A 17,287-nucleotide genomic window follows, 5' to 3' on the forward strand; every position below is an offset into this window, starting at 1 on the left:
CTGAAATTAACAGGGTCCTACCTGATGAATAAACCTCAATAAGGACAAGCATGGATGGAGAAAGGACACAAGAACTGATTGAGGTCTATCTGGAATTCAGGAGGAACCCTGGTCATTACCTTTAACTGATGAAAAAACAAAGCCAATCGCCCAGGCGCAGGGGCTCATGCCTGTACTCCCAGCACTTTGGGAGGCCGAGGTGGGCAGATCACCTAAGGTCGGGAGTTCGAGACCAGCCTGACCAACATGGAGAAACCCTGTCTCTACTAAAAATACAAAATTAGCCGGGCGTGGTGGTGCATGCCTGTAATCCCAGCTACTGGGGAGGCTGAGGCAGGAGAATCACTTGATCCTGGAAGGCAAAGGTTGCAGTGAGCAGAGATCGCGCCACTGCACTCCAGCCTGGGCAACAGAGCGAAACTCTATCTTAAAAAAAGAACAAAGCCAAACTGAAGGAGGAACTTTGCCCGTGGTCTCTGGGCTAGAGAATGGGGCAAGGTAAGGAGAAGGATGTGGAGCCAGATGGGACGCGCCGCAAATACCCAGAGATCTTTTTTTTGAGACAGGGTCTATCTTTGTCACCCAGAATGGAGTACAATGGTGCGATCATGGCTCACTGCAGCCTTGACACCCTGGGCTCAAGCAATCCTCCTGCCTCAGCCCCCACAAGTAACTGTGACTACATGTGTGCGCCACCACACCTGGCTAATTCTTGTATTTTTTGTAGACACGGGGTTTCATCATGTTGCCCAGGCTGGCATACAATATTTTTAATCATTCTGTGCACAATACAAAGTTTTGACTGTGACCCGTCACACATGGTGAATTATGGAATATTCCACTCGTGGCGTCATGTTGGTGCTCAAAACGTTTCAAATTTTGGAGAATTTCAGACTTTGGATTTTCAGATCAGGGATGCTCAACATGTATATAGTAACAAAACACACAGGATTTGCTGGCAACTGAAGCCCCATTCAATAAATATAATGGTGTAAAAGCAAATACGAGAACTGCACCCAAGCAAATAACAGCAACTAAAAAGCAAGCCACAGTGCAAAAAATATACTGAGGGAATTCCTACCCAGCACCTGCAGCAAAAGTCAACAAAATCTGGCACAAAGCCACAAAACCCATTCCTGCCGGATATGATGTTGCCACACTTCACCACTAGGGGACGACGAAGGTCACCCAGCGAATTTGGGCCGCGATGCTCAGAATTCCTGGCCCCGTCTGCTTTCCCAGACAACGGATGGCCTCTTTGGCACCTGTAAGGTCCCCCAAACTGCAAGATGCTAGAAAGCAATCTCAAGGGACCAGCAGCCCCAGGCCTATGAAGCCCTCAAGAGCCTAACTCGTTCTCTTCCATCCACAATATGGGCATGTTATATTGGGGTGCCCAAGGGCCCCACTTTGCACCATTCTCTTCCATCCACAATATGGGCATGTTATAAGATGGTAAGGAAGGCTGGCCATGGTGGCTCACACCTGTAATCCCAGCACTTTGGGAAGCTGGGGTGGGCGGATCACTTGAGGTCATGAGTTCCAGACCAACTTGGCCAACATGGTGAAATCCCGTCTCTACTAAAAATACAAAAATTAGCTGGGCATGGTGGCAGGCTCCTGTAATCCCAGCTACTAGGGAGGCTGAGACAAGAGAATCACTTGAACCTGGGAGGCAGAGGTTGCAGTGAGTGGAGTGCCCGGGCAACAGAGCAAGACTCAGTCTCAAAAAAAAAGGCCAGGCGCGGTGGTGCATGTCTGTAATCCCAGCACTTTGGGAGGCTGAGGCGGGTGGATCACCTAAGGTCAGGAGTTCAAGGTCAGCCTGACTAACATGGTGAAACCCCATCTCTACTAAATACAAAAAATTAGCCAGGTGTGGTGGCCTATGCCTGTAATCCCAGCTAATTGGGATGCTGAGGCAGGAGAATCGCTTGAACCCGGGAGGTGGAGGTTGCAGTGAGCCGAGACCACGCCATTGCACTGGACAACAAAAGCAAAACTCCGTCTCAAAAAAAAAAAGACGGCAGGGAAGCTGCAGAATAGGCCAGGCAAGGCGGCTCACAGCTGCAATGCCAGCAGTTTGGGAGACCAAGGTAGGCGGATCACTTGAGCACAGGAGTTCAAGACCAGTCTGGGCAACATGGCAACACCCCATCTCTACAAAAAATACAAAAATTAATCTGACATGAAGGTGCATGCCTGTAGTCCCAGCTACTAAGGAGGCTAAAGTGGGAGGATCATCTGAGTCTGGGAGGTCCAGGCTGCAGTGAGCTGAGATTGTGCCACTGCAGTCCAACCTGGGTGACAGAGCGAGACTGTGTCTCCAAAAAACAACAAAAACAAAAATTAAAATTAAAATTAAATTGCAGAAGGCATTTTTTAGAAAGGGGGAAAAGGGTAAGTGAGTCTTATGCCAGCAAACTGGATATCATCCCCACTTAACAGATGAGGAAATAGAGGCTCAAAGAGGCAATGCAACCTATCCAGGCTCAATCATACCGCTAGGGAACATCAGAACCAGATTCAAAGACAGGTGGGTCAGATCGTTGTCACTGGGACACTGTACCCCCAGCCCCAGTCATATCTGTGAGAAGAGACAAACAGATAAGGAGAGTATCTGAGGGAGGGAGGGAATATAAAGAAATGACTTCCTCCCGCAGAGACCCTTCATGCCTTCCCCAAGTGGTCCACGAGGGCCGTCCCAGTTCTCCGAGCCACAACACTTAAGGATGGGTGTCAGGCCTTCACTTGGCTCCCCTTCCTAGCAGGACCCCCAGAGCTACGGAGTCAGTTTATTCATTCGGCAAGGGCTCTAAGTCTCATTCAGACATTTCTACCTTCAGTTCTCAAGTGTGACTTGATTTTCTCCCCATGTCGGCCCCTACCTTCACCCAACCCCTCTTCAAACTCTGGAAAGCTCTAAGCCAGAATCCTACTCAAGTCACCAGACTTGTCATACTGTTCCCACTGGGCCCAGAACCCCTTGATCTGAGCTTTAAACTTTATTTACATGGAGCACTGTGATTTTCACTTTTTTTTTTTTCTAAATAAAGATGGAGTCTTGCCACGTTGCCGGGGCTGGTCTCAAACTCCTAGCCTCAAGTGATCTTCCGACCTCAGCCTCCTGAGTTCCTGGGATTACAGGCAGCCACCACCGTGCTCAGCTGTGATAGTCTTTTTTAAAAAATTGAAGCATGGGCTGGGCGCGGTGGCTCACGCCTGTAATCCCAGCACTTTGGTAGGCCAAGGCAGGCAATCCCTTAAGCTCAGGAGTTCAAGACAAGCCTGGGCAACATGGTAAAACTCTACTCTCCAAAAAAAAACAATAACAGGCTGGGCGCGGTGGCTCACGCCTGTAATCCTAGCACTTTGGGAGGCCGAGGCGGGTGGATAATGAGCTCAGGAGATCAAGACCATCCCGGCTAACACAGTGAAACCCTGTCTCTACTAAAAATACAAAAAATTAGCCGGGCGTGGTGACGAGCGCCTGTAGTCCCAGCTACTCGGGAGGCTGAGGCAGGAGAATGGCATGAACCTGGGAGGTGGAGCTTGCAGTGAGCCGAGATCACGCCACTGCACTCCAGCCTGGGCAACAGAGAAAGACTCCGTCTCAAAAAAAAAAAAAGACAAAACTTGAAGCATAATTCATGTATGGAAAAATGCATAAATTTCAAGCATGTAACTACATGACCTGCAATGGCCTCTTAATTGGCCTTCCTGACCCTCTCCTCCACCCTCCACAGGGCCATTTCGGGTTGCGCGTTCCAAGGCCGTCTGACCACATCACTACCCCGGCCAAAAACCTCCAATATTTCTCCTGCTCTAAGGATGGAGACCCTCAGAAACAGAATCATAAGTACTCCTCACCTTTGAGAACGAAAAATGAGGCTGGGCGTGGTGGCTCACACTTGGGAGGCCAAGGCGGGCAGATCATTTGGGGTCAGGAGTTGGAGACCAGCCTAGCCAATATGGTGAAACCCCATCTCTACTAAAAATACAAAAATTAGCCGAGCATGCTGGCGCGTGTCTGTAATCCCAGCTACTCGGGAGGCTGAGACAGGACAATCACTTGAACCCGGGAGGCAGAGGTGGCAATGAGCCAAAATCGCACCACTGCACCCCAGCCTGGATGACAGAGCAAGACCCCGTCTCAAAAAAAAAAAAAAAAAAAAAAAAAAGCCTGGCATGTTAGTGCATGCCTGTAGTCCCAGCTACTTGGGAGGCTGAGGCAGAATTCCTTGAGCCTGGGAGGTTGAGGCTATAGTGAGCGGGGATCGCGCCACTGAACTCCAGCCTGGGCAACAGAGACTCTGTGTCAAAACTAAAAATAATTTTTTAAAAACAAGAAAACCTGGCCGGCCACAGTGGCTTACACCTGTAATCCCAGCACTTTGGGAGGCTGAGGCAGGCAGATCACCTGAGGTCAGGGGTTTGAGACCAGCCTGGCCAACATGGTGAAACCCTGTCTCTACTAAAAATACAAAAATTAGCTGGGTGTGGTGGCATGTGCCTGTAATCCCAGCTACTTGGGAGGCTGAGGCATGAGAATTGTTTGAACCCAGGAGGCAGAGGCTGCAGTGAGCCAAGACTGCACCACTACACTCCAGCCTGGGTGACAGAGCGAGACTCTGTCTCAAAAATAAAAATAATAAATAATAGGAAAAAAAAAAAAAAGAGCTGGGCGCAGTGGCTCATGCCTGTAATCCCAGCAATCTGGGAGGCTGAGGCGGATGAATCACAAGGTCAGGAGTTCGAGACCAGCCTGGCCAACATGGTGAAACCCCATGTCTACTAAAAATACAAAAAATTAGCCAGGCGTGGTGGCATGCACCTGTAATCCCAGCTACTCGGGAAGCTGAGGCAGGAGAATCACTTGAGCCTGGGAGGAGGAGGTTGCAGTGAGCCCAGATCCCGCCACTGCATTCCAGCTCTGACGACAGAGTAAGATTCCTTCTCAAAAAAAGAAAAGAAAAAAAAAAGAAAACCCATATAATGTGCCCACTCCATTGGCTTAATAAAATTAGTTTTGGCAAATATTCCTTTATGCCCCTCTTTAAGTCAAGCCCTTCTCCCATCCCTCAACCCAGGAAACCACTGATTTACTTTCTATAAATTTCTTTGGCTTTTCTAGAATTTTATATGAATGGGTCACACAATATTTATTATTTTGTGTCTGGCTTCTTTCGCTTAGCATAATATTTGTGAGACTGGCCTATGTTATTGTGTGCAACTATAGCTCTGATTGCCGAGAAATATTCCACTGTATAGACAGAATACAACCAATTTACCCTTTTACCAGTTGATAAACATTTGGGTTGCTTATAGTTTGGGGCCATTATGAATAAGGCTACTATGAATATTCATATACAAATATTTTGCATGGACATATGCTTTGTCCTCAACCAAAAAGGACAGATTTCTCTTTGGTGCTTCCTGCCATTCCATGGAAAACATAAATATTCTCTGTTAATTTGACTTACTACAGAAACTAGTCTTTCTCATATGAAATACACACACACGGCCGGGCGCAGTGGCTCACACCTGTAATCCCAACACTTCGGGAAGCCAAGGTGGGTGGATCACCTGAGGTCAGGAGTTCGAGACCAGCCTGGCCAACATGGTGAAACCCTGTCTCTACCAAAAATACAAAATTAGCTGGGTATGGTGGCACATGCCTGTAATCCCAGCATACTTGGGAGGCTGAGGCAGGAGAATTGCTTGAACCCGGGAGGCGGAGGTTGCAGTGAGCCGAGACTGCGCCACTGCACTCCAGCCTGGGCAACCCATGAGTGAAACTCGGTCTCGAAAAAAAAAAAAAAGGAAATACACACACACTTTTTTTTTTTTTCGAGACAAAGTCTCACTCTGCCATCCAGGCTGGAGTGCAGTGGCACAATCTCGGCTCACTGCAATTTCCACTTCCCGGGCTCAAGCGATTCTCCTGCCTCAGCCTCCAGAGTAGCTAGGATTACAGGTGCGCACCACCATGCCCAGCTACATACACACTGGTTTGTGAAACACATCAGACTGGCCAGGCGCAGTGGCTTATGCCTGTAGTCCCAGCACTTTGGGAGGCTAAAGTGGGTAGGTTGCTTGAGCTCAGGAGTTTGAGACAATCCTGGGCAACATGGTGAAACCCCATCACTACAAAAAATACAAAAATTAGCCAGGCATGGTACAATGCGCTTGTCGTCCCAGCTACCCAGGAAGCTGAGGCGGGAGACAGAAGTTGCAGTGAGCTGAGATTGAGCCACTGTGCTCCAGCCTAAGCAACAGAGTGAAACCCTGTCTCCAAAAATAAACTAATTTTTAAAAAGAAACACATCAGGTAATTATAGGAGGTCATCGAATGTGACCAGTGAAGGTGTTTTTTCTGTAACTTTCCCTACTGCTTGCCAAGCCATTGGCAGGGCAGGGCAGGAGCATTTTGTTGCTTCTCTCTCATGACAGCCTCAGGAAGAGACAGGGCTGCACCCACTTCCCAGATGGGAAGTTAAGCTCGGGGAAGCGGGGGATGACCCAAGGTATACCCACCTCAGGGCTCACCGAAGTCAAGATACATCCCAGGGCAGGGGCCTGAGGAACTGGCTCCACCACTGACTTGCTGTGAGCTCTGCCTGGGCCTCAGTTTGATAATTCCCTGAGAATCACAAATCTCTGATATTCTTCTGGAAAAGTCCTGACTTCAAATATGCTGCTCCTGACAGGTGTGATGGCTCCTGCCTGTAATCCTAGCTCCTCAGGAGGCTGAGGCACGAGAATCACTTGAGCTCAGGAGTTCAAGACCAGCCTGGACAACATAGGAAGACTCATCTCAAAAAATATATATATATTCTCCCACCAATCACCACAATGTCCAGGAAATGCCAACAGTAGTCCCAGCTACTCCTGCAGCTGAGGCAGGAGGATTGCTTGAGCCCAGGTGGCGGAGGTTGCAGTGAGCCTTGATCACGCCACTGCACTCCAGCCTGGGTGACAGAGTCAGACCCTGTCTTTAATAAATAAATAAAATATTTCACCCAACCACAGTAGAAAGTTGCAACAAGAAAGCCAGCATGAAATTAGCCGGGCATGATGGTACACACCTGTAATCCCAGTTACTCGGGAGGCTGAGGTGAGAATCTCTTGAACCTGGGAGATATAGGTTGCTGTGAGCTGAGATCACACCACTGCACTCCAGCCTGGGTGACACAGTGAGACCCTGTCTCAAAAAAAAAAGCCAGCATGGGAAGCCAGGTGGGAAATTTTCCTATCTAACTGCCTCCATATCCCTCTTACTAAATTACTCTGGGCTTAACCAAGGAAGACAGTTAGAGCCTGACACTTGGGGGCCAAAGAAACAAAGACAACGAAAGCAGCCATTAAATGGCTCTGCAGGAGGCAGAGGGAGAGAAGTGTTTTTGCTCCAGAGAGGAAAGGGGAGAGGGAAGGAGGGCTGGGAAACGGACTGAAGAGGAGACCAGAGCCAGGAGCTGGATAGTGACAGGAGGCTGGGTACTGGTGGGCCAAGTCAAACTCTGCAAAGCCAGGGCCCAGAGGATGCCCAAGGATGGAGAACATGGAAACTGACCTCTGTGTTTCTGTCAAGTGTGCCTTTCGTCTCACCCTCCAGCACTAAAGGGCTCAATTCACTTGTGTTACCAAGGTTTGGTGACTGCGGAGTTACCAAGGTTTGGTGACTGCAGAGTCTAAGGGGAGCCTGGCAGAGATGAAGGGGAAAGACTGAACTGTGGAAACTATCAACTTAGTCCATTTTGTGCTTCTATGACAGAATACCTGAGACTGGTAACTTATAATGAACAGAAGTTTATTTGGCTCACAGTTTTGGAGGGTGGGAAGTCCAAGATCAAGGAACTGCATCTGGTGAGGGCCTTCTTGCTGCCTCATCACATGGTGGAAGGCCTCACATGGTGAGAGAGTACACAGGACAGAAGGCAAGAGAGTGCTGAACTCACATTTTATCAGGAATCCACTCCTGTGGTAAGAGCATTAATCCATTCATGAGGGCAGAGCCTCTTAGAGGTCCCATCTCTCAACACTATTGCATTGGGGATTAAGTTTACAACGCATGAACTTTGCTCATGGGGCACATTCAAGCCATAGCAACTACACAGCACCAGGGTAGGCTGTAGGCAAGCAGGCCCCAGAGGCCAAGATGATGGAGAATGGGAACTACTAGGAATCTACAGGCATCTGGCAAAGGGCTGAGGACTTCCTCAGAGTATGGAATAAAATTTCAACTGGTCTTATCAAGATCCAGAGCAGGAAGACCAAGTTGACAAAGATCACTTAGATGAATCCAAAATGAATGAGGATATAGGAGGTGGAGAAATACCAGAGGACACACCTTCAGGGACAGGGCAGTTGGGATGGGCATAAGAGCACAGGCTCAAGAGTCAAGATTGTCTGGGTCTAAGATACTATTTCCTACTAAAGCAGGATATTTTATAATTTTAAAAAGGTCATTCCATCAGAAACAGGTAAAGTTTTAAACATATACGGAAACAGCAGAGCACCAAAATACAGGAAACAAAGGCTGACAGAAATGAAGGGAGGAAACAACTCAACAGTCATAGTTGGACTTCAATTCCCACTTTCAATAACAGATAGAACAAGTAGGCAGAAGATCAATAGGGAAACAGAAGACTTGAACACACGACAACACTACCAACCACCCAGACCTAACACCGATCTACAGAACACTGCACCCTACACCACCTAGACCTAACGCCCGTCCACAGAACACCGCACCCCACGACCACAGAATACAACACTACCCACCACCTAGACCTAACACCCATCTACAGAACACTGCACCCCACAACCACAGAATACAACACTACCCACCACCTAGACCTAACGCCCATCTAAAGAACACTGCACCCTACAACCACAGAATACAACACTACCCACCACCTAGACCTAACGCCCATCTAAACACTGCACCCTACAACCACAGAATACAACACTACCCACCACCTAGACCTAACACCCGTCTACAGAACACTGCACCCTATAACCACAGAATACAACACTACCCACCACCTAGACCTAACGCCCGTCTACAGAACACTGCACCCCACAACCACAGAATACAACACTACCCACCACCTAGACCTAACGCCCATCTAAAGAACACTGCACCCTACAACCACAGAATACAACACTACCCACCACCTAGACCTAACGCCCATCTAAAGAACACTGCACCCTACAACCACAGAATACAACACTACCCACCACCTAGACCTAACACCCGTCTACAGAACACTGCACCCCATAACCACAGAATACAACACTACCCACCACCTAGACCTAACGCCCGTCTACAGAACACTGCACCCCACAACCACAGAATACAACACTACCCACCACCTAGACCTAACACCCGTCTACAGAACACCACACCCTACAACCACAGAATACAACACTACCCACCACATAGACCTAACACCCATCTACAGAACACTGCACCCCACAACCACAGAACACTACCAACCACGTAGACCTAACACCCATCTACAGAACACGGCACCCTACAACCACAGAATACCATTCTTTCTTCTTTTTTCATTTTTTTGAGATGGGATCTTGCTCTGTCAACCAGGCTGGAGTGGAGAAGCGTGATCACAGCTCACCGCAGCCTCAACTTCCCAGGCTCAGGTGATCTCCCACTTCAGCCTCCCAAGTAGCTTGGAGTATAGGCATGCCCCACCCAAGCTAATTTTTTTATTTTTTGTAGAGATGGGGTCTCACTACGTTGTCCAGGTTGGTCTCCAACTCCTGGGCTAAAGGGATCCTCCCACCTGAGCCACCCAAAGTGCCGGGATTACAGGCATAAGCCACCATGCCAGGGCCACATTATTCTTAAGTGGACATGGTACATTCTCCAGGAAAGACCATATGCTAGGTCATAAAACAAACCTCAATTAATTTAAAAGGACTCAAATAATACAAAGTGTGTTCTCTGAGGACACTATAATGAAATTAGAAATTTGGGAAACATGGGAAACTCACAAATATGTGAAATATGTGGAAATTAAACAACATACTCTAAATAATGAATGATTCGAAGAAGAAATCCAAAGGGGAATTAGAAAATATTATGAAATGAATAAAAAGGCTTAAAACTTATGAAATGCAGCTAAAGCAGTGCTTGAAGGAAAATTCATAGCTATCAATGCCTTTTTATTCCTTTGAGACAGTGTCTCGCTTTATTGCCCACACTGGAGTGCAGTCATGCAATCAGGGTTCACTGCAGCCTCACACCCCTGGGCTCAAACAATCCTCCCACCTCAGCCTTTGGAATGGCTGAAACTACAGGCAAAAGCCACCAACACCTGGCTTAATTTTTTATTTTTCGTAGGGATGGGGTCTTGTTACATTGCCCAGGCTGGTCTCAAACCCCTGAGCTCAAGCGACCCGCGTCTCAGCCTCCCAAAGTGCTGGTATGAGCCACCATGCCTGGCCATATGTGCCTATTTTTTTTATTATTTTTTATTTATTAATTTTTTTTTGAGACAAAGTCTTGCTCTGTCACCCAGGCTGGAGTGCAATGGCGCAGGCTGGGCTCACTGCAACCTCTGCCTCTCAGGTTTCAGCGATTCTCCTGCCTCAGCCTCCTGAGTAGCTGGGATTACAGGCATGTGCTACCATGCCCAGCTAATTTTCTATTTTTAGAGGCGAGGTTTCACTATGTTGGCCAGGCTGGTCTTGAACTCCTGACCTCAGGTGATCCGCCCAACCTCGGCCTCCCAAAATGCTGGGATTACAGGCATGAGCCACCACACCTGGCCCATATGTGCCTATTTAAAAAAAAAATGAAGATTGTAGGCCGGGCACGGTGGCTCACGCCTGTAATCCCAGCACTTTGGGAGGCTGAGGCAGGCGGATCACGAGGTCAGGAGATTGAGACCATCCTGGCTAACACGGTGAAACCCCGTCTCTACTAAAAATACAAAAAATTAGCCAGGTGTGGTGGCGGGTGCCTGTAGTCCCAGCTACTCGGGAGGCTGAGGCAGGAGAATGGCGTGAACCATGGCGGCGGAACTTGCAGTGAGCCTAGATTGCGCCACTGCACTCCAGCCTGGGGGACAGAGCTAGACTCTGTCTCAAAAGAAAAGAAAAAAGTAAATAAATAAATATAGATTGTAAATCAATAATCTAACCTTCCACTTTAAGATACCAGAAAAATTAGAAAAGAAGAGCAAAAGCAGGAGTAAGCAAAAGGAAAGAAACAATAAATGCTGGGGCAGAAATGAATGAAATAGAGAACAGAAAAACAATAGAGAAAATTGATAAAACCAAAAGTTGGTTCTTTGAAAAAAGTCAAAGCAACTGACAAACCCTCAGCTAGACTGACCAAGAAAAAAAGAAAAAAGACTTGAAATTACTAGAGTCAGAAATGGAGACGATAATATTACCATTAACCTTTCAGGAATAAAATCCTACCTCCTCCAATGACCAGTTTTATAACCTCAGGTGTTACTTAGCCCCTCTGTGCCTCCCTTATCTCTATTCTTTAATCCCAACACTTTGGGAGGCCGAGGCAGGTGGATCACTTGAGCTCAGGAGTTCAAGACCAGCTTGGGCAACACAGCGAAACCATGTCTCTACTAAAAATGCAAAAATTAGCTAGGTGTGGTGGCGGGCGCCTGTAATCTCAGCTACTTGGGAGGCTGAGACATGAGAATCACGGGAACCTGAGAGGCGGATGTTGCAGTGAGCAGAGATTGCACCACAGCGAGACTCTGTCTCAGAAAAAGAAAAAAGAAAAAAAAGCAGTGGACTCCTAGATCCTATGAAGGCTGCAACCTAGACCCGACAAGAGATCAGAAATTTATTATCCAAAGAATACAGAAGGTCCTGGACAGATGAACACCAGGCACAGGAGAGGAGAAGACAGCAACAACAGAAGGGTTACACAGAAATTCATGTACTCAGTGTTGAGGATATCCAGACCCTTAGTCTTCCTCCACTCAGCTTGGGAACACTGTCAGCAAGGCACAGAGCCCACTCAGGCCTTCATGCCGCACTAGCTCCCAGGGCCCCAGACCTTCTAGTACAATGGAAAAATGAGACTGTCAAGGCATAGCTCTCATCAAAGAAATTCCAGGCCAGGCACAGTGGCTCACACCTGTAATCCCAACATTTTGGGAGGCCAAGGCAGGCGGATCACCTGAGGTCAGGAATTTGAAACCAGGCTGGGCAACATGGTGGAACGCCATCTCTACTAAAAATACAGAAATTGGCCGGGTGCAGTGGCTCACGCCTGTAATCCCAACACTTCGGGAGGCCGAGGTGGGCAGATCACTTGAGGTCAGGAGTTCGAGACCAGCCTGGCTAACATGGTGAAACCCCATCTCTACTAAAAATACGAAAAATTAGCTGGGCGTGGTAGCCTGCGCCTATAATCCCAGCTACTCGGGAGGCTGAGGCAGGAGAATCGCCTAAACCGGGAGGCAGAGGTTGTGGTGAGTCAAGATCATGCCTCTATACTCCAGCCTGGGCGACAGAGCAAGACTCCGTCTCAAAAAAAAAAAAAAAAAGAAAAAAAAAAGCCTACTGAAGCCTGATAGCTTCCAACTTTTCTTCAGCAGCTTCCTCAGCTCTCTCAGCCTTCAGAGAATTGAAGACAGTTAGGGCTTATGCTCTGGATTAGGCTTTGGTTTAAGGGAACGTTGTCGCTGGTCTGATCATCTATCTAGACCACTCAAATTTTCTCCATATCAGCAATAAGGCTGTTCCCTTTCTTATTACTGTGTTCACTGAAATAGCACCTTTTTCTTTATTTATTTTTGTATTTTTTTTTTCTTTTTAGTACAGATGGGCTTTCACCATGTTGGCCAGGGTGGTCTCGAACTCCTGACCTCAAGTGATCCCACCTGCCTTGGCCTCCCAAAGTGCTCAGGTTACAGGCATGAGCCACTGCGCCTGGCCAATTTTTGAGACAGGGTCTCACTCTTTCACGCAGGCTGGAGTACAGTGGCACAATTATACCTCACCACAGCCTCAACCTCCTGGGCTCAAGCCTTCCTCCACCTCAGCCTCCCAAGTAGCTGGGACTACAGGCATTCGCCACCATGCCCAGCTGATTATTTTTTGTTGAGAGGGGGTCTTGCTATGTTGCTCAGGCTGGCCTCAAACTCCTGGGTTCAAGAGACCTTCCCCTGCCTCGGCCTCCCGAAGTGTTGGGATTACAGGCATGAGCCACCAGACCTAGCCAGATAGTTTTTGTTTGTTTGTTTTGAGACAGAGTCTTGCTCTGTCGCCCAGGCTGGAGTGCAGTGGCGTGATCTCAGTTCACTGCAACCTCTGCCTCCCAGATTCAAGCAATTCTCCCGCCTCAGCCTCCCCAGTAGCTGGGATTACAGGTGTGAGCCACCGCGCCCAGCCAATTGTTCTTGAGTGAAATTAAAAGTGCTACTCCAGAGGCGGGGCATGGTGGCTCACAACTTTAATCCCAACACTTGGGACGGCTGAGGCAGGAGGATCACTTGAGCCCAGGAGTTGGAGGCCAGCCTGGACAACATAGCGTGACCTCGTCTCTACTAAAAACTAAAAAAACAAAAAAAAGGCCTATCTTGGCTTTCAACATGCCTTTCTCACTGAGCTTAATTATTTCTAGCTCTTGATGTGAAGTGAGAGATTTGCAACTCTTCCTTACACTTGAACACTTAGAGGCCACTGTACGATTACTAATTGCAAACAGCTGGTTGGTGGAGCGGTCAGAACACATACAATATTGATGGAGTAAGTTTACCGTCTTACACAAGCATCATTCATGATGCCCCAAAACAATTACAATAGTAACATCAAAGATTATTGATCGCAGATCACCATACTAGATATAATAATAACAAACTTTGAAATATTTCAAGAATTACCAAAATGTGGCACAGAGACACATACTGAGCATCCTTTTGGAAAAATAATGCTGGTAGACTTTGCTCGACACAGGGTTGCCAAAAGCCCTCAATTTGAAAAAAACGCAGTACCTGCAAAGCGCAAAAAAGCAAGGCACAATGAAACAAGGGGTGTGCCTGTTTTCTTTGACTCTCACCGAAGCCTTGTGTTTCCACAACATGAGAAAAGGGAGGTTCAGAAGGTGTGGATGATTTTCCTAAATCACCTGGCTAGTAACCAAGTCCCAGGGCCACAGCCTTCCCACCGCAAGGCACTGTCGCCCAAAGCCTTCAGGAGTAAGCTTGGCTGTAGGTTTTCCAGCCATAGGCACACAGCCAGACACAGGTGGGCACTCAGAAATTAGTTACGTGAGTAAATACCCAACAACTAGGAGAAAGCTAGGCAAATTGTGGTTGACCAACAAGACACTGCAAGACTTTTCAGGAGGAAGATGTGGAATTCCACTTATCAACATTAGATGAAAATGCAGAACCTCACATAACAGCCACAAATCTCCCTAGATCTCAGAGGCGGGTCTCCATCCGCTCGGCCTCAATTATCCAGAGCTGAGTCACCAACTATCCTCCCTCCAGTCTCTCCCCAGCTCTCCGCAGGAACCAGCTGGAGCTCTCTACTGCCCACACTGCCAAATCCAAATTCTTCATCCTGGCCTTCACAGCCCTTCCATCTCAACCAATCCAGTTGTTTCCTGAACACTTTCACCCTCCCTGGCCTTTGTTGGACTCTTCCCTCTACCCCACAGAAGCCCATCTTCTCCTTTATCCTGAGATGCAACTTGGCTCATATGGATTCTCAGTGAATGCTGGTGCCTTTCCCCACTTCCATCAAAAAGGGAGCGGTGGCCAGGTGTGGTGGCTCACACCTGTAATCTCAGTACTTTGGGAGGCCAAGGCAGGTAGATCACCTGAGGTCAGGAGTTCAAAACCAGCCTGGCCAACATGGCGAAACCCCGTCTCTACTGAAAATACAAAATTAGCCGGGCGTGGTGGTGCATGCCTGTAATCCCAGATACTCAGGAGGCTGAGGCAGGAGAATCACTTGAACCTGGCAGGCGGAGGTTGTAGTGAGCCGAGATCTCGCCACTGCACTCTAGCCTGGGCAACAAGAGCGAAACTCTGTCTCAAAAAAAAAAAGGAAGCGGCTCACTTTTTTTTTTTTTTAACAAAAGTGGATTTATTCATTTAAACCTATGTGATCACCAAGTTCACTAGAAACTGGCAGGATGAACCTGGAGCCTCACATCCAAGAGCCTCCGGTTTGGGTTTTTCTGGTACGGAGGCAGGGAACTGACTTAGATGACCTGGGCAGCCAGGCTGGTCTGGGCTTGGATGCCTTTCCACCTCTCCTTCCTCTCCTAGTCTATCCCCAGCTCCCTTCCAGGGGTCAGGACCCCAAACTCCTATTAGGCAAGTCTTTTCTTCCCTTAGCAACCCAGTTTCTTCAAACATGGGGAAAAAAGGTAGGAGGAGCTTCTTATCACAATATTTCTTTTTAATTTAGAAAGAGGAGGAGAAAGCTAGGCTCACACCTGTAATCTTAACACTTTGGGAGGTTGAGGCGGTGGATCACTTGAGGTCAGGAGTTCAAGATCAGCCTGGCCAACATGGCAAAACTCAAGTCTCTACTAAAAACACAAAAATTAGCTGGGCACGGTGGTGGGCGTGGGCGCCTTTAGTCCCAGCTACTCAGGAGGCTGAGGCAGGAGAATCGCTTGCAGCTGGGAGGTGGAGGTTGCAGTGAGCTGAGATCGCATCACTGCACTCCAGCCTGGGCGACAGAACGAGACTCTGTCTCAAAAAAAAAAAAAAAAAGAAAAAAGAAAGTAGGGGAGAGAAAAATGACAATAACTTATCACTTGGAAAAAGTTTTCCCACTAAAGTTCTCACCAACTATGTCCAAAGTCCCTCCTTGTTGGGACACTGTAAGCTGTCAATAAATATACCTTGGTCATGCCCCTACATTAGCGCGCACCAACTTACCCCATTTTAAGAGCCTGCGGTAGAGAGGTCTCAGAGTTGCTATAATGGGCCAGCTCCTGGTGAGGGGTATTTAGTTGTTTGCAATTTTCCCGAATGAACAGTTCTGCAAAGAACAATCTTCTATAAGCATTTATCTTTGTTGTACAGCTACTTCAAAAGACAGATTCCTAGAAGTGGAATTACTGTCTTAGAGAATCTACACATTTTAAATTCTGATACTTACTAGTTCAGAAACTTGACACGGTAATTCTCAAACTCTAATTGCACTTAGGCTTTATCTGTGAAGCTTGCTTACGTGCAAAATCTGACCGGCTACCAGCCTCCCTCCACCACTACCCCGTCCTCCAGGAGAGAGGAGGGGCTCCAGGTCTTTGTTATGCAGCTCTCAGGTGGAGGAGGAGGCAGCACTCCCCCGCTTCCATTTTCCCAACCACATCTAGCACCAGACTTGGGAAACACTCGTCTAAGGGGCTGCTGCAGGCACAATTTACGGTGCGGTCTCTTCCTCTAGCCCAGGCCCCCAGTGGCTTCCCCAGAAAGGGCAGAATGTGGCTCTTACGCATACAGGAGAAAAACGCCTAGTGCGGAGTTCAAGCTCAGCAGCCACTACCAGAGCCCCCTCTCCAGGCTCACCTGGTCGCACCCATTTCCCCCTGGGGCTCCCCTCTTCTGAAGGTCCCTGTCCCATACATTTCCTAGAGGCCAAGGCCCATTGGTTTTACATTTCTTACCTAAGGCAACCCAGACGTGGCTTTTTCTTTCACAGGGCCGTGGGGGGAGCACCACTTCCCCGGCCAAAAAAATTGTTTCTGACCCACACTCTGGGCCTTATTTTCCCTGTCTGTGAAATGGAGAGCAACAGGCAGTGCCACTGACATTTCACCCGCTGCCGTGAGGAGGTTTTTAACATTTGCAGGAAGTCTGGCTTCTATGGGGTGTCCAGGTGAAACCTTAACAATCTTTAATCAGCATTCTGATTGGCTTAAGGCTTGTTTGGAAAAAATTAAGAGTTTTGTTCCTAGAGTTCTCCATTGCTAAAGGGTAATTAAGTCCAAAAGCTGTTTTCAAAGCGATTTCCAAGCTCAAGGGCCCTAGATATCTGGACCTAGCCGTGTCCGGGTACAGGGCTGGGGGGCGTGGGGGGATGCCCTAAGAGGCTGGTTAACAGAAATATCACAGTATGTGGTACCCACAGCAGAGAGCAGGGAAGAATGTACTGACTGGGGTGGGGGAGGCCAAGGAAAACCTTCTGGAGTAGGGTGTAACTGGCAGAAGAGGAAAAAGAAACCAGACAGGAACTCCGGGAGCTCCTGGACTGATCGTTTAAGGCCGGGCACAAGGGGTAAGGGATCAGGCTTCACTATCGACCGACCTGGGCT

The 17,287-nt window shown here is 48.1% G+C and overlaps 1 long non-coding RNA gene across 1 annotated transcript in view, besides 3 other annotated features; it reads right to left on the minus strand.

Annotated features, from left to right (window-relative positions):
* DLGAP4-AS1 (DLGAP4 antisense RNA 1) overlaps positions 1-17,287 on the minus strand; it is a 65,574-nt gene that overhangs the window by 47,831 nt on the left and 456 nt on the right. The window contains exon 2 of the long non-coding RNA NR_109939.1: positions 15,909-16,011. This is a non-coding gene — a long non-coding RNA (DLGAP4 antisense RNA 1). The remainder of the gene's footprint in view (positions 1-15,908; positions 16,012-17,287) is intronic.
* Positions 7,078-7,643: an enhancer, noted in NCBI's record as "NANOG hESC enhancer chr20:35191013-35191578 (GRCh37/hg19 assembly coordinates)". NCBI's record gives its function as "activates a minimal SCP1, AML or CMV promoter by ChIP-STARR-seq in naive H9 embryonic stem cells {active_cell/tissue: H9 hESC(naive)}" and the evidence as "EXISTENCE:reporter gene assay evidence [ECO:0000049][PMID:30033119]".
* Positions 16,011-16,563: an enhancer, noted in NCBI's record as "OCT4-H3K27ac hESC enhancer chr20:35199946-35200498 (GRCh37/hg19 assembly coordinates)". NCBI's record gives its function as "activates a minimal SCP1, AML or CMV promoter by ChIP-STARR-seq in primed H9 embryonic stem cells {active_cell/tissue: H9 hESC(primed)}" and the evidence as "EXISTENCE:reporter gene assay evidence [ECO:0000049][PMID:30033119]".
* Positions 17,182-17,241: an enhancer, noted in NCBI's record as "active region_17809". NCBI's record gives its function as "activates an Ori minimal core promoter by ATAC-STARR-seq in GM12878 lymphoblastoid cells {active_cell/tissue: GM12878}" and the evidence as "EXISTENCE:reporter gene assay evidence [ECO:0000049][PMID:35858748]".

This window comes from Homo sapiens, chromosome 20, assembly GCF_000001405.40.
Source record: "Homo sapiens chromosome 20, GRCh38.p14 Primary Assembly".
Taxonomy (NCBI): Eukaryota; Metazoa; Chordata; class Mammalia; order Primates; family Hominidae; genus Homo; species Homo sapiens.